General features: G+C 34.1%; 1 protein-coding gene across 21 annotated transcripts in view, besides 1 other annotated feature; it reads right to left on the bottom strand.

Moving 5' to 3' along the window:
* The window catches only part of SNTG1 (syntrophin gamma 1), an 886,897-nt gene that overhangs the window by 250,948 nt on the left and 609,272 nt on the right, over window positions 1-26,677 (bottom strand). For all 21 annotated transcript variants that reach the window (NR_135796.2, NR_135795.2, NR_135797.2 and 18 more), the window contains 2 exons: window positions 15,486-15,568; window positions 8,937-9,067 (listed from right to left, as the gene is read on the bottom strand). Coding sequence is in view for 16 of the 21 variants with exons in the window: in NM_001287813.3 (NP_001274742.1) it covers window positions 8,937-9,067; window positions 15,486-15,568 (214 nt within the window). In the remaining 5 variants the exon portion in view is untranslated. The remainder of the gene's footprint in view (window positions 1-8,936; window positions 9,068-15,485; window positions 15,569-26,677) is intronic.
* Window positions 8,858-9,073: a silencer, noted in NCBI's record as "fragment chr8:51449232-51449447 (GRCh37/hg19 assembly coordinates)". NCBI's record gives its function as "represses an EF-1alpha promoter that drives an FKBP-Casp9 reporter gene in an ReSE screen in phorbol 12-myristate 13-acetate-treated (for megakaryocytic differentiation) K562 erythroleukemia cells {active_cell/tissue: K562(+PMA)}" and the evidence as "EXISTENCE:reporter gene assay evidence [ECO:0000049][PMID:32094911]".

Below are 26,677 nucleotides of genomic sequence, written 5' to 3'. Positions count from 1 at the left end.
AAACTAGAAATTCTACTGTCATTTGAGAATTTTTAAAGTCCAAAAGCCTACTTTCAATATTATCGATTTTCATAGTGTTTAAAAAGCATGCAGTAGATGATAATTCTACCTAAAGAAAAAACTAAGACATGAATTTTTTTATTAAAATTCATTTTATAAATATTTATTGAGTACTTTCAGCCATAAAGTATGCTAAACACTGAGAGTACTCCTCAAAATTATACTTCTCAAATTCAAATATATATATATATATTTATATAACATGTATATAATATTATATAAAGTGACAGGTGCATATATTTATATGCTCATTTTGCATATAAGAAAAATAAAGCTTGAAGAGATTAAAAGACCAGCCAATTTTAACAATCTTTATCTCTTATTCTAATGCCCTTGACACTGCAATATTATAACATACTTCAAAATTTAAAGCAGATATTTATATCTGAATCAGGGTCATTACATTATGATAAATATAAACTGTATTATTACTGATAAAAATATCATGATGTTTTAATTTATATATGCACAATAGTACATGACTGTAACACAACTTGGTTGCAATTATATATGACAGGTATTATATCACTGAAGTTAAAATTATGGGCTATGGAAAAAAAGCAACCAAGAAATAATATCCTACATTTGAGCCAAGCTAAATAATTTTCTTTATTTGTAATCATGGGCAGCACTATACATAATAGTCAAAATATGAAATCAACCTAACTGTCCATCAGTGGATAAATGGCTAAAGAAAGTGTAGTATACATATATTACATTCATATATACATATATATATGCAATAGTGTATTATTCATCCATGAATCTATTATAAATCACTTATTTATCTTTTCTTGCCCCCCACTCCCTCACTGAATCTACTACTACTAGTCTGTGAGCTTTTACAGAGAAAGAATCAAACATAATGTCTCCCACTTACAGATATTAAGTCAATATTGGTTGAGTGAATGAGTAAACAATAAATTAGCTCTTGAATGTGAATCTCTATGAAATCCATTCTGAATAGTGCTATGTTTGTAAATGCTTATTGCTGTCATGTGTATTGAGTGTAATTAATTCAGCTGATGAAGCTGTTGATGTGCTGAATGCCATAAAAATGAAAATGTAAGGAGTCATCTGGACCCATTCAGACAATTCCTTTCTTGTCAGAAATTTCTCTAGCTAAATGTCTTCAAATAATGTAACTGCATTTTTTTAAATCAAAAAGTAAATAAATGTACGCTTTTAAAAAATATACATTCTCTTAATAGAAATATTAACAGAGCTCTTAAGGTAGAAGGAAAATAGAACCAAAAGAAAGAAATGAGAAGAAAGATTAAAAATAGAATATGTTTGAATAGTTATATGAAAGCAATAATAAATTTTGAAATATCTAACATACGATTTTAAGTATATCAAAAATATGCCCAAAGATAAGAAAAAACAAAGGAATTAAGGGGTCTTAAAGTTCTAACATTTTCTGAAATTGATATAAATTGTGTTAAACTGTAATAGTTATACATGTATGGCTCTATGATAATGCTTAGGCGATAACTTAAATGATAACAAAAACACGAATATATGAAAATTGAATAGAGAGAATATTAAATAATAAACATTTTTAATTATTACAAGAGGTAAGGAAATAAAACAGCACAAAAACTCGTGTGTTGAGAAAAAGGAATTTGAGATATATGTATATCTCAACAGTATAAAATCTAACAAATCAATTTCAAAATGGGCAAAAGACATAAACAGACACTTCACCGAAGAAGATACACTGATGGCAAATAAGTACATAAAAAGAGGCTCAATGTCATTATAATATGCAAATCAAGGCCACAGGGACATGTCACTACATACCCATTAAAGTGGTTCAATAAAGCAACAAAACTAAATGCTGGCAGAGATGTGGAGAAACAGTCATTCCTACATTGTTGGTGCAAGTGTAAAATTGGACAATCACTCTAGAGAGCAATTTGGTTGCTTCTTAAAAGACTAAAATACTATTAAAATATAATCCATTCATTGCACTTTTTAGCATTTATCCAAATAAATGGAAATGTATGCTTCCAAAAAATCTATATACAAATATTCATACATCTTTACTTAGAATAATCAAAAACCGGAAGCAACCTAGATGTTTTCAAAGGTTGAATTTTTTAAATGTGCTACATCTATACCATAGGATATCACTCAGAAATGAAAAGGAATGAACAACTGAAAAAATAAAACTACTTGGAAGAATCTCCAGGAAATTATCCTGTGGGAGGAAACAACAGCAACAACAACAACAACAACAACAAAACAGACACATAGACCAATGGAGCAGAATAGAGAACCCAGAAATCAATTCTCTCATTAACAGCCAACTCACATTCAACAAAGGTGGCAACTTTGGAGAAAGGGCAGTCTCTTCAATAAATGTTGCTGGGAAAACTGAAGATCCATATGCAGAAGAATGAAACTAGAGCCCTATCCCTCACCATACACAAAAATAAAATCAAAATGGATTAAACACTTAAATCGAAAGCCTGAAACTATGAAACTGCTGGAAGAAGACACTGGGGAAATGCTCTGGGACATTAGTCTGGGCTAAGATGTTTTCTGTAAGACGTCAAAAGCACAGCCAAAGCAAAAATAGACAAATGTTATTACATCAAACTAAAAAGCTTCTGCACCACAAGAGAAAAAATAAAGTGAGAGACAATCTACAGAATGGGAAAAAATATTTTCAAATGACCCATCTGACAAAGAATTACTGAACAGAATATACAGGACACTCAAACAACTCAATAACAATAAAAAATCTGACTTAAAAATGGGCAGAAGATTTGAACAGACATTTCTCAAAAGAAGACATACGTATGGTCAACAGGTATATGAAAAATTGCTCAATATCACTAATCATCACAGAAATGCAAATCAAAACTACAATGAGATATCTCACCCCAGTTAAAATGGCTTATATATGAAAGACAGGCAATAACAAATGCTGTTGAGGATGTGGAGAAAGAGGAATCCTTATGCACTGTTGGTGAAAATGTAAATTAGTACAACCACTACTTCAGAACAGTTTGGAGGGTTCTCAAAAAACTGAAAATAAGACTACCACACGATCCAGCAATTTCATTAGTGGGTATACATTTTAAAGAAAGGAAATCAATATATTGAAAAGACATCTGTGCTCCTATGTTTATTGCAACAATATTCATAATAGCCAAAATGTGAAATCAACCTAAGTGTCTATCAGTGCATAAATGGCTAAAGAAAGTGTAGTATACATTTGGCCAGGTGCGGTGGCTCATGCCTTTAATCCTAACACTTTAGGAGGCCGAGGCGGGTGGATCACTTGAGGTCAGGAGTTCCAGACCAGGCTAGCCAACATGATGAAACCCCATCTCTACTAAAGATACAAAAAATTAGCAGGGCATGGTGGGGTGCGCCTGTAATCCCAGCTACTCGGGAGACTGAAGCAGAAGAATTGCTTGAACCCGGGGGTGGAGGTTGCAGTGAGCCATGAACACACCATTGCACTCCAGCTTGGGGAACAAGAGTGAAACTCCGTCTCAAAAAAAAAAAAAACAGAAAGAAAGTGTAGTATACATATACTACATTCATATATATATATGTATATATACATATACTACATTCATATATATGTATATATACATATACTACATTCATATATATATGTATATATACATATGCAATAAAATATTATTCATCCATGAAAAACAAAATGAAATTCTGTCATTTGCAGCAACATGGATGGAATTTGAGGTCATTATATTGAGTGAAATAATCCAGGCACAAAAAGACAAGTATTCCATGTTCTCACTCATATTTAAGTGGGAGCTAAAAAAGTTGATCTCATTGAGACAGCTAGTAAATTGTTCATTACCCGAGACCAGGAAAGTTAGAAGAGAGAGAGAATGAAGAGAAGTTGATTGATGAACACAAATATATAGTATAGTATAAGACATAGGACCTAGTATTAAATAGCTTAGTAAGGTGACTGTAGTTTATAATAATCTATTGTATATTTTTAAAAAATAGCTGGAAAAGAAGGATTTGAATAGTTCTCACATAAAGAAAAGACAAATACTAAGATGATGGATATTGTAAGTATACTAACTTGATTTTTACAAATTCTATGGATGTATTAAATGATCACATGTATTCTAAAACTATGCATCTATTATGCATCAAAAATTGAATTAAATAAGGTTATATAGTATCATATATAATGTTCTTAATATGATCAAATAACAGAGGTGAAGAACAGATTATTAGTTGTCAGAGATTAGAAATGTGGTGAGGGAGGAGGGCAAGAGGGATGCTGGTGTAGTTATGGAAGGACTACAGGAGAATGCCTGCAATGATGGAACTGTTCATACAAAACTTGACTGCGTTAGTGGATGCAGGAACATGCATATGTGATAAAATTTCACAGAAATAAACATGCACACACACACACACACACACACACACACACACAGGTAAAATCTTAGTGGTGAATTTTGTCAAGTCCATTCCCTGGTTGGGATATTGTATTACAGTTTTGCAATGTGATACAATCTGGGATAATAAGAGTAAATGAAAATACTATTTCCCACAAGTGCACGTGAATATTCAATTTTTTCAAAATAAAAGGTTTAATTATAAAAAGCTAGGATTTTCAATAGAAAAAAATAAGATGTATAATCAAAATATATATGTAGTTACATTAAAGGTAACTAGACTAATTTGAATTAATGACCAAGTTTGTTACTTTGGATTAAAAACAACAAAGAATATTGCAAATATATGTATAATATATAGATGTGTATATATACATATATATTTAATGCAGAAGGGGCATATTTTATACAGTAAGACTAATAAAAGTTTAAAGAATAGGATAGAAGAATATACAAGTAGATATTAACAAATAGAAATCTGTTTTTTATTTATCCTAATACAGATAGACTTAAAGGCAAGAAACATTTCCAAAGGTACTGGACATGCCATAATTATCAAGCATCATATAACAGGAATTTATAAAAATTCTAAATCTACTTGCATCTGACAACATAATTAAATATATACAGCAAACACTGACTCAACAATGTAGAGAAACACACAGATCTACCATCATAGTGGGACACTTTACCATGTTTATGTAAAACCTAATACAATAAACAGAAAAAAATCATGAATGATGCAGAGGATCAGAGCCTCTAACGAACACATATGACCTAATTGAAATACGTACAACACAGCACTAAAAAAATGACAATACTCATCCTTTATAAATACATATAAAACATTTCCCAAAATAACGTATATGCTGAGTAAAATCAAGCCTCAACAAATATCAAAGTATTGAAATCATCTAGCATGAAATTATACTAAATAGAAATAGCAAAAAAAGATAATTAGAAAATCCCAAAATATTTTGAAATTTTGTGATACACTTTTAAATAGTCCATAGGTCATAGAAGTAATTATAACAAAAAATAAAACATTATCAAATGAATTTTTTAAAATACATGAATATCAATACTTGTGGATTTCTTATTCTGGCCAAGACAGAGTGGCCTCATTCTTATCAGCTGCTTTCTGATGCAACTAAAGAACTTCACACATAAGATGACAAAAGTATGGGAAGCCCCTGTGAGGTGAACAGCTAAGCATGAATGGCTAGGGACTTCAAATTCAGGGATAAAAAAAGTGCTGAATCCCCTGGGTTTTCCTCCTGCATGTCCTAGACACGACCCTCTGAAACCTCCAATCTGAATGGCTAACAGCAAGACTTTTAAAAACGTAAAGCCTCCAATAAAAATCTGTAACTCCTTTTTGAAGGACTAGAGAATGGGTACAATAAAAACAAAACAAAAACTTTTGGCAATACCTGCCCAAATCCAGTCAAATACCAATGGAACCATTGTCTCCCTGTTCACAAGGTTTTCAGCAGGGCTTAGCAAGAAGCTGTTCTTCCATCCTACACCTTAAAGAAGCAGGCTCCAATTTCCCTGCCAGGGTAGTGTCAGTGGGGTGTCATGGACAGCTGAACCTTCATACTCACCTGCAGCAATTAGAATAAATGGGCTTGTGGGAGATGGGACAAGTACTGTGCCTCCCCTTCCATGCTGACAGGTGTGGCCCAGCAAGGAGCTGAGTCTCTCCCACCATCATCACCGCAGTGGAATGAGGTGGTGGGAGGTGGAGCTAGTTGCCCTCACCTATCCGTCCACCTCCTTCCTTATGTCAGTAGAATTCCCTGAGGAGCTGAGCTTCTACCTCCAACCTTTAGTAACCAAGAAATATGAATAGCCCTCTCCATCTACCTTTCCAGGTGTCAGCATGGTGCAGTAGGAAACTTAACATATACACCCACCCAGTCCTCACAACAAAGAGATTGCCTGCTAAAAACAACAAGAACAAGAACAACAACAACAACAACAAAACCCAGATTAAATAGTAATCTGAATCTCAACATTTAATATCCAAAAAGTCTAGGATGATTTTGTTAAATCACTTGTCATATCAATATCCAGGAAAATCACAAGTTGAATGAGAAAAGAATTAATGATACTAACAATGAAATGAATGAGATATTGAAAATATCTCACAAGGATTTTACAGTAACCATCCTAAAAATGCTTCAACAGGCAATTACAAGTTTTCTTGAAACAAATAAAAATATTTTTAAAAACTTCAAAAAAGAAGTTATTTTTAAAAGGATAAACTAGAACTGAAAAAAATAAATCGACAAAAAATAAAATGCTGAATTGGCTGAAGAGCAGAGTTAAATGACAGGAAATAAAATTTGAAAGCATAAATACAGATCAATAAACTTTTCCCAATCTGTTTAACAGAAAGAAAACAGATTTTTTAAAAAGTTTCTCAGTGAAATGCAGGACAATAATAAAAGGGTTAATATTTGCATCAACAGAGATGTAGAGGGAGAGAATGGAAAGCGGGACTAATCAAGTGTTTGAAGGAATAAAGGTCAAAAACTTTCCTAATTTGGTGAAAGTCATAATCATACAGACTTAAGAAGCAGAATAAAGCCCATTTAGGAGAAATTTAAAGAAATATGTGCCAACATACGTCATAATTAGTCTTCTGAAACTAAAAAAGAAAAGAAAAGAAAAAAAAGTCTTGAAAGCAGACAGAGGGAAAGAACATATTACTTACAGGGGACACTGATTTGAATGACAGTAGACATTAATGCCTAACATATTTTAGGTACTGAAAGAAAAGAACTGTCAACTCCAAAGTCTGTATCCTCTCAGATAAATGAAAACTAAGGGAATTAGATGCTAGCAAATCTACCTTTAAAGAATGTCTAAAAAAATTAAGCAGAAAGGAAGCGGTAAAAGAAGCTTTGAAATTCAGAAAGATCATTGATGGGTATACTTTGGGTTAAGTATAATGGATTATCCTTTCCACGAGTTTTTAAAATCTTATTTGATGGTTGAAGCAAAACTCATAATACCACCCGATATAGTGTTTGATGTATATATAGGAAGTTAAGGTAATATCTTTACAAACAGGAAAGATAAAGGAATCTTAATGGAAGCAACATTTCTATTCTTCATTCAAAGTGGTAAAACGTTACCAGTAGACTGTGATATATTACCTACACATATTATAATACCTCAAGCAACCAGTCAGAAAACTATGCAAAGTGATATACTCAAAAATACTATAAATAAATCAAGAGGTAATGCTAAACTTGCAGGAGTAACTAAAACAGTATTTGCTGGAAATGTGAAGATCTGACTACATATATTAAGAGATAAACATCTTAAAATTAATTATCAAAATGGACTGGCAAACTACAGCCTATGGGACAAATCTAGCCTGCCACCTGTTTTTGTGAAAAAGTTTTATTGGAACAAAGGTGTGCTCATTTATTTATATATTGTATATGGCTATTTTTGTGCCAGAAGAGCAGAGTTGAGTACTTTGTGATGGAGACATTAAGGCCTGCAAAGCATAAAATATTTACTATACAGCTCTTTACAGGAAAGTTTCCCAACCCCTGGAGGTTATATCTCTCAGAAAGCTATAAGAACAAAAATTCAAGCTGAAAAACTTAAGAAATGGAAACAATCAGGGAAAAAGCAGAGACTCATAAAGTATACATACAAGTTAAGAGATTCAAGAAAGTCCCAAATTAATCATTTTTAAAAAATCAACAAAATGTACAACTCCTTAGCAAAACTGATCAAGATAAAAAGAGAAAAAAAGTTTCAAGAATGAAAAGGAGGGCACTACTTATCTTACACTTACTAAAATAGATAATAATATAAGAATATTAAAAGCAGAAAATAAATCTTATAATTTAGACCAACTATGCTGCTGGGCATGTGGTTTATGCCTATAATCCCAGCACTTTGGGAGGCTGAGGCAGGCAGATCTCCCATGTCTACGAAAACAAAACAAAACAAAACAAAAAATTAGCTGGGCATGGTGGCATGTGCCTGCAGTCCCAGCTACTCGGGAGGCTGAAGTGGGAGGATCACCTGAACTCAGGAGGTGGAGGTTGCAGTGAGCTAAGATCACCCCTCTGCACTCCAGCTAGGGCAACAGAGCTAGACCTTGCCTCAAAATAAGTGAACAAACAAACAAATAGATAAACTATGCAATATTCTTGAGAAGTAAACAATTAACAAATATGAAATATGAAAACTTAATAAAACTATCTATTGAGTCTATTGAATCCATTACAATAAGTTAATAGCAGAGTCAGGGCTTTAACTTGTGGTTTTGTCATCAGAATAATAAGTGTTTAACTTTGTTAGATTATTATTTTGAAGCTCTTCTTTCTACTATCAAAAACATACTAAAATCATAAGGCGTATTGTGATATGTCAAAAGGTTTTCTAAAAGGTCTCTTTTTTCATAAACAAAACAGTCATAACTCCTAAACACGGACTCACCGACTCAAATCTGTGCCGGGCACATACTGAGAGAAGCGCGAATGAAGTAGAGGGATCAGTCTGAGGTCGCACCATCGCTTCTCCCACCTCAAGCCTGGAGACGTCGGCCACGACGAGCATGATAATGTGTCCTGAAAGGAAGATAAATATTCAACGTAATTTTTTTCTTCTGTGCTTTGAGTTTCTGTATCTCAAACCCCTTTTATCTGGGGGATATTATTTTTCCCCTAAATGATCAAAAGACTTTAATGGAATACCATGAGAAGAAGTCCAAATTATGGACACTAAAGTTGTATTGGTTAACTTATTTATTAACAGAATGCTATAAGAAGTTAAGAAAGGAATCATTGAGACTAAGAGTGCTAGTGAAAACGTATTTTAAAATGAGGGGAGCTGGAAGGAAAGGATAAGAATGTGACAGAACATAATTTATTCAAGAATGGAAAAAGTGGGAAAAAACTGTAACTATAATTAACCAATTAAGTGAAGAAATAAAAATCAGCTGTAGTTCATTCAAATAGAGAGTATTTTATGAGTGCCAAGCACAATCATAAGTGTTTTTAATTTATCAGATTTTTGCAAATATTTTTGAATAGAATAAGCTTTCCTATAAAACAACTTTCAAAACACTGCTCAAGGAAATCTGTGCTCCTTTTTCTAACTTCATGTTCATAAAAAGTTTATACTTTCTTATGTTGTTTTAATTGCATATCAAGGCAACTACTGCTGGCTTAAAATTACACATACATTAAGTTTTGTTAGAGCTTTTTTCTTCCTTTATATATAGAGGAGACTAATATTTGATAAAATTTGGGCTTTTTCACTTGATTCATGTTTCCTTCATTATTTCAGTTTTAATGTTAAAATTTCTTCATCACACCAACACATCAAATAATATTAATATTTAAATTGGCATGGGTTGTAAGCTCAATTTGACCAGTAAACTGGTAACATTGACTTCCCTTTATTCACTAATTTTTGAGTGATAGTGTTGGAAGAAGATTCTATTTTAGTCTAGATATTGAAACTCTGTGAAGTCTAAATATTATTAAGCATTACTCTCAGGCATTAAACTTTTTAACAATGCTTCCAGTGAAAAACAATATTACTTTTACTTAAGGTTGTATGTTGCCTGGCATTTTATGTTAATTGTGGCAGATTGAGCAAATAAAAATGTACTAAGTCAGTGGAGCAGTTTAGAATACCTGGAAGTGTGGACTGGCTAAGATCACTTAGTGAGGGGTCCCTACTGGTGACTCAATGAGCACCTCAGCTTCCAAGTCACCTGTCCTTCAATGCTAGTCAGTTGCTTTTAATGCCTCTCTGGTGACTGCAAAGGCACAAACCTAGGTTTCATATTACTCTTTCTCCTGGCCTCATGTCAGATGTTATGGATGATCGGCATGTGATGTGAGGTCAGATCTTCATGTCAGCTGTACAGGTGGTCAGCATATGACATGGGATCAGCTGGGAGATAGTACAAGGTGGCGAGGTCTTAAGCTGCAAGTCAGAATCAGAACACTTAGATTTGAATACCAGTTTCCCAACTGAGTAGTCCATTACCTGGGGGCAAGTTTTGTAGTCTCTATCTTACTATGTTTATCTTCAAAGTGGGGATAATAATGGTAACAACTGGTAAGATTATAGCAACAAATAAAAAATTTCTTATAATCTAGCCCAGCTAAATGGCTCCATACTATTTTCAATATATCTAAAAGGCTAATGGTAATTTAACATTTAGTAAAACAAACTACTTAGATGCCTGGCTTGGTAGCTGTAAGTAAAATGTATCAAATATTATATTCTCGAGAAATAATAATAAGCTGAAATAAGGGGCAAAATTATTTCTAAACATGGAACTTTTAGGGAGGGCATTCTTAGGAATATTACTGTTACTATTTAATAGTAGTTTTAATAATACCTACTTGTACTAAGTGCTTGACTTACACCACTTGCAACATCTTTGAAAAACAAAGCTATTACTATGTTCATATTTGAAAGGAAAAACAGAAGGTTTTTTTATTTTTAGTTTTTGAGACAGGGTCTCACTCTATCACTTAGAAGTGCATGGTGTGATCTTAGCTCACTGAAACCTCCGCCCCTGGGGTCAAGTGGTCCTCCTGCCTCAGCCTCCCAAGTAGCTGAGACTACAGGTGCCCACCACCAGGCCTGACTAATTTTTGTATTTTTAGTAGAGAAGGGGTTTCACCATGTTGGCCAGGCTGGTCTTGAACTCTTGACCTCAGGTGATCCACCTGCCTTGGCCTCCCAAAGTGCTGGGATTGCAGGCGTGAGACAAGAAAGTTTTTTTAAAGAAGTATTTTATTATTACTTCCCAACTTTTCTTCATGAGGGAACATGAAGAAGCAATAATACTGTGTGGCAGGCTTGGGTAAACAAACAAGGTTTCTGTGACCAGGCCAGAGATGTCCACAGGGATTGCAAGTGGCCCAGGACCCACCCAGCTGCACAAAGCAAGGTCCTCGTTGGCAATGACTGAAACTCCTTCCCAGAACCCCAGTGCACACACACGCATTCCTAAGTTCTATAGTAAACAATTTACCCAAGTCACCCAGCCAGCAAAGGGCACCCCCAGGATTCACTCAGACTAACACCTTTTTGATAGCAGAGCCAACAGATCTACTGTGGAACATTTAACATTCAACCTGGATAATCAGGAGTGAAACAATGGAAAAATAATTTGGATTTTTTTACTTGATTATTTCACATTTTGGTTATATAACTTCAGGTATATTATTTAAAGATGCTTTCTCATCTTTCATAAAATACAATAATAATTTCTTTCAAATTTTGTGTTTCTTCAATAAATGGGATAGAAAATGTCAAAGATTGTTAAAGATATGGGTAATGAGATGTTGAGGACTGACTAATCACCAATACATGAGTACGGTAGGTTTTACAAATCTTATCAATACACTTCATAGATTGGCAAGTATGGAAATATATGTGGCCTTTGACATTCTTTCTTGTGGCATCTTGATTTGATGCCTGTATGTACCAAAGGTATAAGTATGTCACTTTCTTATATTTCTTCTTTATAAGAAATATGTAATAAGTCCCACTTCAGTTATTTGACTCAACAGAGTTGATGTATTTCATATTATAGACCTGTTATTTACAGTGGAACACAAGCTATCCTTTAAAGAATTTTTCTCCTTACTTATTTTATTTATGTAAATAGAATATAAATTTACTTTCTAATCATTTTTTTGGAATAGTAGTTTATTTATTTTTGCATAAAAGATAGTCTAAAAACACAATCACTTTTGTGCTTTTGAGAACCATGACTATTTTTCAATAGCTCTACTCTACAATGTCAAGAATGTTGTTTCCTACAATATTAATAATGTGACTGGAAAAAGCAGCAATTATGTCTCCTTGCTTGTTTCCCAAAATTTTACACATGCCACACAATATCCTCAAGAACAACTATCTTACCAGAACAGAACTGCACAAAGGGCAAACTGCTAACTGAGATTTTATTAAGGATTTGGTGGCATAGGATGTATTAATTAAAGGTGTACAGTTAAGAAGAATGTTTCTCAGTCTGGTTGGCTGATTATCTGAATCAGAGTCTTCTGGTAAGCACAGAACAAATTCTTCTACTCCATCTCTAGAGAGAAGAAATTCAGTGAATCTGGGCTGGGGCTTAAGAGCCAAGGTCTTGGTTGGCAAAACAAGTGACTTTCATGTACCTTCAAATTAGTGATGTCGCGCATCTTTAGAAGGAATAGATTATATTTTTATGTAGGATAGTGGAATGATGCTAATATACTATAAGCCTTTATTTCCCCTTAGAATTAAAATGCTGCCTTAAAATACAGTAAGGACATGTTAGAAAACCAGAATAATACCTACTCAAAATTGGCTTCAGATCAAGGTATAGACATTGAAAAGGCAGTTTGTGAGCCTAGGATAGAACTGAGAATTAACACACATCAGAAAATCAAATGTTTCTTTTAAATAGACTGTCTATAATATACACATATTCTGTGGAAAGAAAATTTGCCTCACAATGCACTCTTTCTTCTGAGTGCCCACTGTCTGTTGTTATTTCATGTCTTTGACCTCTCCTAATTTTGTACATCTCTGAGTAGAGATGTTCTCCACTTGCCATTCCTCCATCAAAGCTTATTCAAGATACAGAAGGAACAGCACGTGCTAGCCCTGGCTGTGCAAGCCTGCACGGTCTGATTACCATTGCAGGTTAATGCTCCCGTGCGAGCAACAAAGCACACACTTGGTTTGTAGTCTCTCAACTTACGTTGAATTTTTAGTCAGATGGTCAAAGTCTCTACAACTCTTTATCTCTGTTACTAGAATGCTGCTACTCATTCTTCTCTTTTTCTGCTTATGTTATAGTTAATTGTATGCTTTTGTCTATAGATCTGGATCTTAATTTTTTTGTGTTAAAATCATAATTAACAGCTCCCCAAAGTAAAATAGCTAGAGGGGTATTTCCACAGAGTAAGTTCTCAACAAAAATGCATTTAATTGATATGCATTGAGATTTTTGTCTTTATTTTGAATATACTTTATTTTGTTTTCATACGGTTTTATTATTATTCTCTATAGCATCATGATACTTTCAATTTCCTTACACTGAAATATCTTCAGCAATGTCAAAAGAATGTTCAATCCTAGTGCTAAAAGGAAAATAAAATGTGCCTCTGGAAATGGGGAGACATAGCTCCAGTAAGAAGAATTTATAACAGTTGCTTTATTTTTAATTTTATAAAACTGAATTTATTTGGGATGTTATAGAATTGGAGTGATTTTCTTGCTGTAATTACAGTTTTATAAGGAAGGACATTATTCTATATATGTTTTTCTATATGTCAATGGAATGGATTAAAAACAAACCAGAATGATTTCTACCCTTAGACCTGCCACTCTGACTCCTCTGCTCTGCTTATTATACAGGAGTTCAAGGGTATGAGGCAAGACCTAGAACAAAACAGCTCCAAAGAGCTTTCTCCCATTCTGAAGTAAGTTGCTCTTGTTTCTGTCTTAGGAGCAGAGGTGAGATGGAGATTCTTGTGTGAGGGACACGTGGAGGGGGCACTCTCAGGAACAACCTCTGAGGACTGATGGAAGCAGGGCATGTGGTGCCAAACACCCCTGTGAGCTCTGACTCCCAGGCAAAGGGGATCCAGACAAGAGGGATAAGCTGTGAATGGGCACAGCCAACACCTCCAGCTACTGAGGGCAGGTGCACCAGCGCGGTGAAGGAAAACAGAAGTGGATCGAAATTATCGAAGGCATCTGGATCGGGAGGGAAGAAGGTGAGCAAAGCAATTACAAAATAAAGAGGTAAAAAATTTGGTTGTATATCTAAGTTTTTCATTAGGAAACCTGTATATTTCCTCATAAACTTTAAGTCACTCCAATCATGCTGTATTGTGGTTTTAAATGCCACTTATTGTGTGGCAATTATTTCTTTGGCAAAAAAAAAAAAAGTTTCAAAGATGGCCACATGAAATATATCCAGCTGAAGATGGTTTTAGAAAATATCCCTAGATTTGTACAGATAACCTTTGGTGTTGGCAAATTTCTTTTTACGAAGGAAAAAAGTTGACAACTTGAGGGCCTAAGGTACTCAGCTGAGGAGTAATACTAGGGAAATCAGGTACCGTGAAAGCCATTCAGGACTGAAGATGTTCAAAAAGATTGCTTTGAAGTAAAATGCCACTATTTTGACAAAAATTTCAAATTGCAGGATGAATCATACCAGTCGGTTGAAGAAGCTATATGACGTATGTACCATGATATGTGGAATAGAACAATAAAATTCTGCTTAACGTCACCTCTGCTTCTCTTTATGTTTGTAAGCATGAAAGATGATTGTTAGATCTGCTTATAACCAGAGAAAATTATTTCTTTAAGAATGTGTGAGTGTTTTGAAGGATGAAATGCAAGGAACTTCAAAAACATTTATAAGATATTAAAATCGATTTACTCAAAATGCAAGTAGAGAACAAAGATTAAAATTGTATTAAATATCTATAAAACAAAGTTTAATTTTAACTTCTACTAAATACATGTATAGTTAAACGTTCTTTACATGTCAAAATAATGTGTGAATTGGATTTTCTCACTTTGCAGTAATTGCTTACTGTGAATAAAGTTGGCTAAAAAAATCCTAACAAATAGCAAATTAAATAGTTACTTTTAGTTAAGTAATTTCAAAAGAAAAAAGTGAGAAAACTAATGTCAAAGCATTTTGAACCTGAAATCACATATAATGTGCAATGTTCTAAAATGATTGTATATTATACATCTCCAGTGACATCCCCAAGTTAATAGTATCTATTGCTTCAAAAGAACTTAATCCATACAGACTTGAGAGGGGAAAAAAATGGCATAAGAAACCTGATCTATTTATTTTGCATTTCTTGTTTATCATAATTCTTAAATGATTATGCAACCAGGGATTTCCTATCTGTCAGATAAATCAGATTCACTAGCAGTTTTTATAAGCTATGTGTTATCTCCTTATTAATCTGAGCTATGCCTGGGTCATCTTACTGTATTGTTGGGATGGTAGTTGAGATGTAAGCCACTGTCACAGAGAGGAGAGGAGGTGCCACTGCTCTGGTCACTTGGAGCACCTGCAGGAGACAAAATCATAACATTCCACTGGTGAGAATGCCATAACCTTCTAAACTGATGCATTCCATTACACTTTCAAGGATACTCAGTAATATCAAGTAAATCAGATATTACAATACAATTTTATCTCAGTTATACTAAAGCCAGAGTTTTGCAAGTAAGCCAAGTGACTACAGGTATCTGGGCACTAAAAGAGACTCACAAAAATTTGTCTTTGATTTCAGAAACATTAAGACTTTATAAAGGAAAATGTACAGCCTTATAAAAAGTATTATTTTGTTTAATTATCTAAAGTGGCCTGCTCTTAGAAACCATACTTAAAATAATACAAGATTTTGGTTGTCTACAGAGTTCTATTTAATGTCATATTTCAACCAAGTGGTAAATCCTACCCTTAGAAACTATAATTTTCCATGATGCAAAAATGTTTGCATGTTCTGTTTTTGTAGGTACTCTTTGTTAGTATCCAAGTATCCATTAAAATTATCACATTTTGTATAATTGCAATGAAAAAACTTCATATTAGATTTTAATGAGATGCCTACTAATATCTATTTTTTAAAGATGAGTAATGCCTTAAAGATTTGTCATTTTCTAAGATTTCCCAGTTTAGTAAGTGTTAGAGTCACAATAGTTCCTGACTTCTGATTATTTGATTTTTCTAAAGATATTTTTTAAAGTTACTAATGTTTATAAATATTACCCACAAATATAATTGACGCTCAATTAATATTTGAAATATTATACTTGATTTCAAACATCATAGGTCATAGGGAACACTACTTACATAATAGTCCATGTGCTAAAAAACAGATATTGTTCTTCTCTTTTATTACTCTCACATTCTGTAATTTTCCTGGAACTAAGATGGGAAATATAGGCTTTCTCGCTATACTGATCTGGATATAATTTTTCTAATCTTTAAACTGTAAGAATATCACACTATGTTTTAGTTATTTTTCCTGTGAAGTTTATTTGCATTTATATCTTCTACATTTTAATGTATATATGTATTACTTTAAAGCAAATGTATATACTTATTATTTTAAAGCATATACATTTTGAACTGAACAAAAATAAAAATACAACATATCAAACTCTGTGACTGAATCTTAAGTAGTCATTTGAGTGAAATTTAAATGTTTAAATACATACACCAAAAGAAGGTAGGTATAAACTTAATGATCTTAAGAACTTAAGAATGGAGGAGCAAATTGAACCAAAGCAAAACAAACAAAATAAATGAAAAATAAAAATAAAACTGGGAAAAATTAAATAGAAAAGAGAAAATAATAAAGAAAATTAATTAAGGCAAATATCAGATATTTGGGGAAACTAATAAATTAGATAAACCCATAGCAAAAAAAAAATTTAGAAAAAAGAGACAGAAAATACAAGTTATCAACATCAGGAATGAAGGAGGGGTCATTACTGAGAGCTAACGGATGTTAAAAGGAATGATGAGCGGTCATGATAAATAACTTCATGAAAGAAATTGACAACTTAGTTGAAGTGAACAAATACATTAAAAAAAATCTAACCAAAATTTACAAAAGAAGAAAGAGACTATCAACTCTTATGGACATATGCAAAAAAGAAAAATGTAAACAATATATTAGCAAACCAAGCCTAGTAATATATGAAAAATATATCACATCATGACCAAGTAAGTGGTATTTATTCTAGAAATGCAAGCTTGGTTTTACATTCAAAATCCATTTTAAACATTTACCATATCAAAAGGCTAAAGAACGAAAGCATATATGTAATATTTTGATGTATGTAGAAAAATATTTGAGAAAATTCACCATCAATTTTTGTTTTTTACAAAAAGCAAATTAAAAACTTTAGCGTTCTAGGAATAGATGTGCTCCTCTATCTGATAAAGAACATCTTTAAAAACCTATATCCGATACCCTAACTAATGACAAAATAAACCTAGATTATTCCCCACTAGTATCAAGAGAAAGAAAGGGATGTCTACCCTTAACACGTTGTTAAAAATAAAAATGGAAGTCTTAGCCACTGCAACGGGAAAGTCAAAATAATTAAAGAAATGTAGATTGGAAAGGAAGAAGCAAAACCTTATTTGCAGATAACACAATCGTGTATATAGAAAAACGTTAAGAATGCAGAAAAGTCTTTCTAGAATTATGCTATGTTGCAATATGTTAATATATAAAATTAAATTATATTTTATGTGTTGGCAATAAACAACTGGACAATGAAGTTTTAAAATATTATTTACAATAAAATTAAAACATAAAATGCATATAAATAAATTTAATGAAAGATATGCAATAATTCCAAATTAAAAAGACTAATATATTGCTGAGAAGAAAACATAAATGAAAAGGTAATCTCCAAATTGTTTATAAATTTAATTTAGTTCCATTCAAAATTCCAATACATTTTTTATGCAAATTGGCATGCGATTTCTGAAATATATGCAGCAATACAATAGATGTAGAATAGCCAAATGATCTTTACAGATTTCAAAGTTGAAGAACCTCTTCTAGGTCACTTTAGGATATGTTACAATAATAAATAATATGATTTTCATTTAAAAAAATAGACATGTAAATTAGTGGAAATAACAAAGTATCTCAAAATAAATCCAAACATGTATGATCAAATAATAATCATATATATACATATATCAAATACACACACACATAATTGATTCTTATGTAAGATGCACAAAAATATAAGATGTATTATAAATGTAAACATAAAAGCTAAAGCAACAGGCCTCTAGAGGAAAATAAGAAAAAATATCTTTGCAACCTTGGGGTAGGCAAGTATGTCTTAGAGAGGATACAAAAACAATAAAAGGAAATAAAGCTTCTGCTAACAAAGACAACCTCAAGTGAAAAATGTAGATATACAAAGACTAAGAGAAAATCTTCGTAATTTATATCACTGGCAAAAGGCTTATATAGATAATATTTTTAAAAATTCATGCACTATAATAGTAAAAAGAACATACCAACAGAAAAATGGGGAAAAGTCTTGAACAGAAGCTTTCCAAAAGAAGATATGCACATGGCCAATAATCACACAATATGGAGATAATTATTATTAGTCATCAGGAAAATGCAAATTAAAACTACAATAAGATTTCACTGCACACTCAATAGAATGGCTGGAAGAAATATTTGAGCATCAAATATTGGAAAGAATGTAGGGCAACCAGTGCTTGCATACCTTTCTGGGGAACACAGTGGGAGTTGTTTAATAACATGCTGACTTCGGGCCGGGCGCGGTGCCTCATGCCTGTAATCCTAGCACTTTTGGTGGATGAGGCGGGATGATCACAAGGACAGGAGATCGAGACCATCCTGGCCAACATGGTGAAACCCAGTCTCCACTAAAAATACAAAAATTAGCCTGGTGTGGTGGCAAGCGCCTGTAGTCCCAGCTACTTGGGTGGCTGAGCAGGAGAACTGCTTGAACTCAGGAGGCAGAGGTTGCAATGAGCCTGGCAACAGGGGGAGACTCCATCTCAAAAAAATATATATATATATATGCGTGTATATATGTGTTTGTGTATACACACACACACACACACATATATATGCTGACTTTGATGAAGTTCAGAAAGATGGTGGAATAGAAACCTCAGACCTTGCTTCCCATAGACACACCAACTTTGCAACAATATATAGTTAAGAAAGCTTTGAAGAGTGCTCCAGAAACTAGTTAATAAGTCACAGTAACCCAGGTAAGCTCAAAGCCAAGAGCAGCCACATTAAAAATGGGTAAAAAGACCATTTCATTTCACCCATGACAGCCCTTCCACTAAGCTGGAATAACTTGGTGTGATCAGAAGTAAGTGTCAAACTTGCAGCCACTCTCTAGAGTGGAAGAAAAGCAAAAAACACTCATCCAATATTCTGGCTTTTGGGGGAGTGCACAAGGGTCTGGTTTCTGTGTCACTGACTGGGTGCACTGATAGACATAGCATACTCTGGATGCCTGAGGCTCAGAGAACACAGAAGAGTTCAGGGGCTCATTGCAGCACTAGAGAACCTGCAGTTCTGCAGCCAGACCAGCAGAGGAAATAGTAATTATAAGGTCAGGAAAAAGAAACCAACAAACCTCTCTTTTGGGATATTACATGCCCAGAGAAGATGAATCCCCTGAAAATGTTTGGGAGACACTTTACCCAGGCTGATTGGTGAAGTTCTTTTCCGGTGTGTAATCAGTTAGAAAAAGTCTAAGAGACATGGCTGATTTTTTCAAATTCACAAATCCCAGAAAAAAAATAATAGCACAGACATATGAAGCAACAGAGAAACAAAATAAACCACCGAAAACCAAGTGGAAACCAGGTCTGTAAATTATCTTTAAAAACACAAAATAATCATCTCAAAGAAGCTCAGTGTGCTAAAACAAAAACACAGATAGCTAAATAAAATTAGAAAAATTATGCATGAACTGAAAATGTCAAAAATATAGAAAAGACAAGAAACCCACACAGAAATTCTGAAGATGAAGAATACAATAATGAAGTGAAATATTCACTAGAGATAATCAATAGCAGATTTTATCAAGCAGAAGAAAAAGTGAATTCAAAGGCATGACATTTGAGGACTAAAAGGAAATTAGAATTAGGAAAAGTGAAGAAATGCTAAGAGATTTATATGACACCATCAAGCAGACCAATAGACACTTTATAGAAGTCCGAAAAAAGAAGGAGATGGGCAGAGAGCTTATTCAAAGAAATAATTTTCAAAAATGTCCCAAATCTGGGGAAGAAAATGAACATACAATAGAAGAAACTTGAAGATCTCCAACTAGGATGAACCTAGAAAGGCTCACACTGAAACTCATTATTATCAAACTGTCAAAAGTCACAGATAAACAGATAATCTTGAAAGCTGCAAGAAAAAAATGCAATTTTGCAGGTAAAGGGAAGATCTCATAGATCAACACATTTCTCAGCAGAAACATTATAGGGAGAAAGGAGTGGGATGATATATTCAAAGTGCTGAAAGAAAAATAAAATCAGCCAATCTAGAATACCATACCCAGCAAACCTGTTCAATAAATTTGAGGGAGAAATACAGATCTTCTTAAATAAACAAAAACCATGGGACTTCATCACCACTAGAACTGTTTTACAAAATTGCTAAAGACAATTCTTCAAATTGAAGTAAAAGAACACTAGATAGAAAGAGAAATGCATATAAAAAATAATGTCCTCTGGTAAAGGTAGATGTAGACAAATACAGAATAATGAAGGTGTATTCATAGTAATTTTTATTGTGGTACAGAATTTAAATGATAAAACTGTGAAAAATAACTATACAGTCATTCCTCCATGGGAGATTGATTCCAGGACACCCTTCACATACCAAAATTCACATCTGCTGTAGTCCCTTACATAAAATGGTGTAGTATTTGCATATAGCCTATGCACATCCTTCAGTATATTTTAAATCATCTCCAGATTGCATATAATACCAAATACAATGTAAATATGTATGTAGTTGTTATACTGTACTGTTTATTTGTATTATTTTTATTGTTGTGTAATATTTTAATTAACAATTTTGATTTGCGGCAGGCTAAATTCACAGATGTGGAATTTGTATCACAACTACACCTATACAAGTGGTTTAAGGGATATAAAATATAACAAGTTGTATTTATAAGGCAGTGTATGTGATTGACATGGAGTTATCAGTTTAAATTCACTTACTTAAAAACGGTTAATAGTATTTAATAAAGTATATTAACATGATTATTTCTTGCCTAGGTGACTTATTTTTAATAGAAAATAATAATTTAACAAGTATATTTGTCCATTAAAAATAGGTAAAAGGGAATTAATAACAGCAAGATTGTGGGATAGAAATCTCTATATTTCATTCCCCAACAGAGACACTAACTTGAAACCAATATATGGTATAGAAGGTGGGGAGGGGATGTAAAGAAGTAAGATCTGTGTACTGTGATTAAGTTATTATCCATTTAAAATAGATTGTTATAGTATGTTCTATGCAATACCTATTAGAGTCACAGAAATACCTATAAGGGGTACACAAAAGAAATTGATAAAAGGATCAAAGCATGGAACTACAAAAAACAAGGAAACAAATGAAAGTAGCTAAAGAGGAAAAGAGGGGCACTGTAACTATAAGACATACAGAAAACAACAAAATGACAGCAGTAAGTGTTTCCCTATCAGCAATTATTTAAATGTTAAGTGGAATAAACTTCCAAAACCACAGAGATAAAGTGGTTAAGTGGATTTTAAAACCCAATATCCAAGTACAGACATATCTCATTTTATTACATTTTGCTCGATTTTGCTTCACAGATTTTTTACAAATTGAAGGTTTATGTCAACCATGCATCCAGCAGATCTATATGCTGTTTTTATAATAGCTTGTGGTCACTTTGTGTCTCTGCATCACATTTTGGTAATTCCCACAGTATTTCAACTTTTTCATTATTATTATACGTGGTATGGTGATCTGTCATCAGTCATCATTGATGCTACTATTGTAATTCTTTTGGAGCTTCACAAACCACGCCACATAAGGCAAGGAACTTAATGAATAAATGTTGTATGTGTTCTGACAGCTCAACTGACTAGCTGTTCCCCATCTCTCTCCCTCTCCTTGGGCTTCCATATTCCCTAAGACACAATAATATTGAAATTAGAACAAAGAATAACCCTACAATGGCCTCTAAGTGTTCAAATAAAAGAAAGAATTGCAAGTCTCTCACTTAAAATCACAAGCTAGAAAAGAAAAAGCCTAGTGAAGAAGTCATATTGAAAGCCAAGATAAGCCAAAAGCTTAGCCTCTTCTGCCAGTTAGCCAAGTTGTGAATGCAAAGGAAAAGTGTTTGAAGGAAGTTAACAGTGCTACACCAGTGAACACATGCATTTTGAAGCAAAACAATCTTCTTACTGATAAGGAGAAAGTTTTAGTGGCCTGGATAGATCAATCCATCCACAGCATTCCCTTAAGCCAAATCTTAATCCAGGGCAAGATACTAACTCTCTTCAATTCTATAAAGGCTGAGAGGTGAGGAAGGTACAGAAAAAAAAGTTTGAAGATAGCAAATGTTGCTTTATGAGACTCAAGAAAAGATACTGTCACCATATATAAAATTACAAGATGAAGAAACAAGTGCTGTTGCAGGAGCTTTAGAAGCTATAACTAGGGCTAGGATTAATGATGAATACGGCTTCATTAAAAAACAGATTTTTGATGTATCCATTAAATAGCCTCATATTAGAAGAAGATGACATCTAAGACTTTCATAGGTAAAAGGAAGTCAAGCCAGGTACAGTGGCTCATGCCTATAATCCCAGCACTTTGGGAGGCTGAGGCAGGCAGATCACAAGGTCAGGAGATCAAGGCCATCCTGGCCAACATGGTGAAACCCCATCTCTACTAAAAATACAGAAATAAGCCGGGCATGGCGGTGCATGCCTGTATTCCCAGCTACTTGGGAGGTTGTGGCAGGAGAATTGCTTGAACCTCAGTGGCAAAGGCTGCAATTAGTGTAGATCACACCTCTGCACTCCAGCCTGGGTGACAGAACGAGACTCTGTCTCAAAAAAAAAAAAAAAAAAAGGAAGGAAGTCAATGTCTGCCTTCCAAGCTTCAGCGAACTCTTGTTAGGGGCTAATGCAGCTGCTATCAGTTGAATTCCATTTTTATTTACCATTCTGAAATCCTAGGGCAAGGATAGGTCCCTTAACAATTATGGTGAATCTACTCTGCCTGTGCTCTAGAAATGGAACAACAAGGCCTAGATGGCAGCATATCTGTTTACAGCAAGGTTTACTGAATATTTAAGCCCACTGTTGAGACCTACTGCTCAGAAACACACACACACACCCTGAAACACACATCAAAACACATTCCTTTCCAATAATCACTGCTTACTGACAATGTTCCTGGACACCCAAGACTACTGATGAAGATGAAAAAGATTAATGTAGTTTTCATGCCTGCTAACACAAAATCCATTCTGCAGCCCATGGATGAAAAAGGAATTTCAAAGTTTCATGTCATATTATTTAAGAAATATATTTAATACAGGGACAGCTGCCATAGATGGGGATTACTCTGATGGACCTGGGCAAAATCAATTGAAAACCTTCTGGAAATGATTCTCCATTGTTGATACTATTAAGAATACTCATGATTAATATTGACAGGAGTAGGTAAAAATATCAATATTAAGAGGCATTTGGAAGAAGTTGATGCCAACTCATGGGTGACTTTGAGGAGTTCAAGACTTCTCAAGTAGAGGCAGTAAGAGTAGATGTGATGGAAATAGCTGGAGAATTACAATCAGAAGTAGAGCTTGAAGATGTGACTGAATTGTTCCAATCTCATGAGTGTTTTCTTGAGATGGACTCTATTCTTGGTGAAGATGCTATGAACATTGTTGAAATGACAATAAAGTATTTAGAATATTACATAAACTTAGTTGATAAAATGGTTGCAGAGTTTAAGAAGATTGACTAATTTTGAAGGAAGTTCTAATATGGGTAAAATCCCCCAAGAAGATTACATGTTACAGAGAAATCTTTCATGAAAGGAAGAGTTAATGAATGTGACAAACTTCATTGTTGTCTATTTCAAGGAATTGTCATAGCCATTCCAAACTTCAGCAACCACCACTCTGATCAGTCAGCATCCATCAATAGAGAGACTAACAAAAAAGCTGCAAATCAGTGAAGGTTCAGATGATTCTTAGCATGTTTTAGCAAAAATTATTTTTTATTGTACTTTAAGTTCTGGGGTACATGTGCAGGAAACGCAGGTTTGTTACATAGCTATGCACATGCCATGGTGGTTTGCTGCACCCATCAACCCATCACCTACATTAGGCATTTCTCCTAATGCTATCCCTCCCCTAGACCCCCAGCCCCCATCAGGCCTTGGTGTGTGATGTTCCCCTCCCTATGTCCATGTGTTCTCAAATGTTCAACTCCCACTTATGAGTGAGAACCTGGTGTTTGGTTTTCTGTTCCTGTGTTAGTCTACTGAGAATGATGGTTTCCAGTTTCATCCATGTCACTGCAAAGAACATGAACTCATTTTTTATAGCTGCATAGTATTCCATGGTGTATATGTGCCACATTTTCTTTATCCAGTCTATCACTGATGGGCAGTTGGGTTGGTTGCATGTCTTTGCTATTGTAAATACTGCTGCAATAAACATATGTGTGCATATGTCCTTATAGTAGAAAGATTTATATTCCTTTGGGTATATACCCAGTAATAGGATTGCTGGGTCAAATTGTATTTCTCGTTCTAGATCCTTGAGGAATTGCCACCCTATCTTTCACAATGGTTGAACTAATTTACACTCCCACCAACAGTGTAAAAGCGTTCCTATTTCTCCAAATCCTCTCCAGCATCTGTTGTTTCCTGACTTCTTAATGATCACCATTCTAACTGGCGTGAGATGGTATCTCGTTGTGATTTTGTTTTGCATTTCTCTAATGACCAGTGATGATGAGTATTTTTTCATGTGTCTGTTGGCTGCATAGATGTCTTCTTTTGAGAAGTGTCTGTTCATATCCTTTGCCCACTTTTTGATGGGATTATTTGCTTTTTGTTGTAAATTTGTTTACATTCCTCATAGATTCTGGATATCAGCCTTTGCCTTTTTTCTCCCATTCTGTAGGTTGCCTGTTCACTCTGATTATAGTTTCTTTTGCTGTGCAGAAGCTCTTTAGTTTAATTTGAGCCCTTTTGTCAATTTTGGCTTTTGTTGCCATTGCTTTTAGTGTTTTAGTCATGAAGTCTTTGCCCATGCCTATGCCCTGAATGGTATTGCCTAGGTTTTCTTCAAGGGTTTTTATGGTTTTAGATCTTACGTTTAAGTCTTCAATCCATCTTGAGTTATTTTTTGTATAAGGTGTTAGGAAGAGGTCCATTTTCAGTTTTCTGCATATGGCTAGCCAGTTTTCCCAGCAGCATTTATTAAATAGGGAATCCTTTCCCCATTGCTTGTTTTTGTCAGGTTTGTCAAAGACCAGATGGTTGTAGATGTATGGCATTATTTCTAAGGCCTCAGTTCTGTTCCACTGGTCTGTATGTCTGTTTTGTTACCAGTACCATGCCATTTTGGTTACTGCAGCCTTGTAGTATTGTTTGAAGTCAGGTAGCATGATGCCTCCAGTTTTGTTCTTTTTGCTTAGGATTGTCTTGGCTATTCAGGCTCTTTTTTGGTTCCATATGAAATTTAAAGTAGTTTTTTTTCAAATTCTGTGAAGAAAGTCAATGGTAGCTTGAATCTATAAATTTCTTTGGGTAGTATGGCCATTTTCACTCTATTGATTCTCCCTGTCTATGAACATGGAATGTTTTTCAAATTGATTGTGTCCTCTCTTATTTCCTTGAGCAGTGCTTTGCAGTTCTCCTTGAAGAGGTCCTTCACTTCCCCTGTAAGTTGTATTCCTAGATATTTTATTCTTTTGTAGCAATTGTGAATGAGAGTTCACTTAGGATTTGGCTCTCTGTTTGTCTATTAATGGTGTATAGGAATGATTGTGATTTTTGCCCATTGATTTTGTATCCTGAAACTCTGCCGAAGTAGCTTATCAGCTTAAAGAGATTTAGGGCTGAGATAATAGGGTTTTCTAAATATACAATCATGTCATCTGCAAACAGAGACAATTTGACTTCCTCTTTTCCTATTTGAATATCTTTATTTTTTTTCTCTTGCCTGATTGCCCTGGCCAGAACTTCCAATACTATGTTGAATAGGAGTGGTGAGAGAGGGCATCCTTGTCTTGTGCTGGTTTTCAAAGGGAATGCTTCCAGCTTTTGCCCATTCAGTATGATATTGGCTGTGGGTTTGTCATAAATAGCTCTGGTTATTTTGAGATACATTCCATCAATACCTAGTTTATTGAGAGTTTTTGCATAAAAGGGTGTTGAGTTTTATTGAAGGCCTTTTCTGCATCTATTGAGATAATTATGTGGTTTTTGTCATTGGTTCTGTTTATGTGATGGATTACATTTATTGATTTGTGTATGTTTAACCAGGCTTGCATCCCAGGGATGAAGCCGGCTTGATCGTGGTGGATAAGCTTTTTGATGTGCTGCTGGATTCATTTT

Source organism: Homo sapiens, chromosome 8, assembly GCF_000001405.40.
Source record: "Homo sapiens chromosome 8, GRCh38.p14 Primary Assembly".
In the NCBI taxonomy this organism is placed as follows: Eukaryota; Metazoa; Chordata; class Mammalia; order Primates; family Hominidae; genus Homo; species Homo sapiens.
The sequence above is the reverse complement of the archived record's forward strand: the minus strand, read 5'-3'. Positions and strand labels throughout refer to the sequence as shown.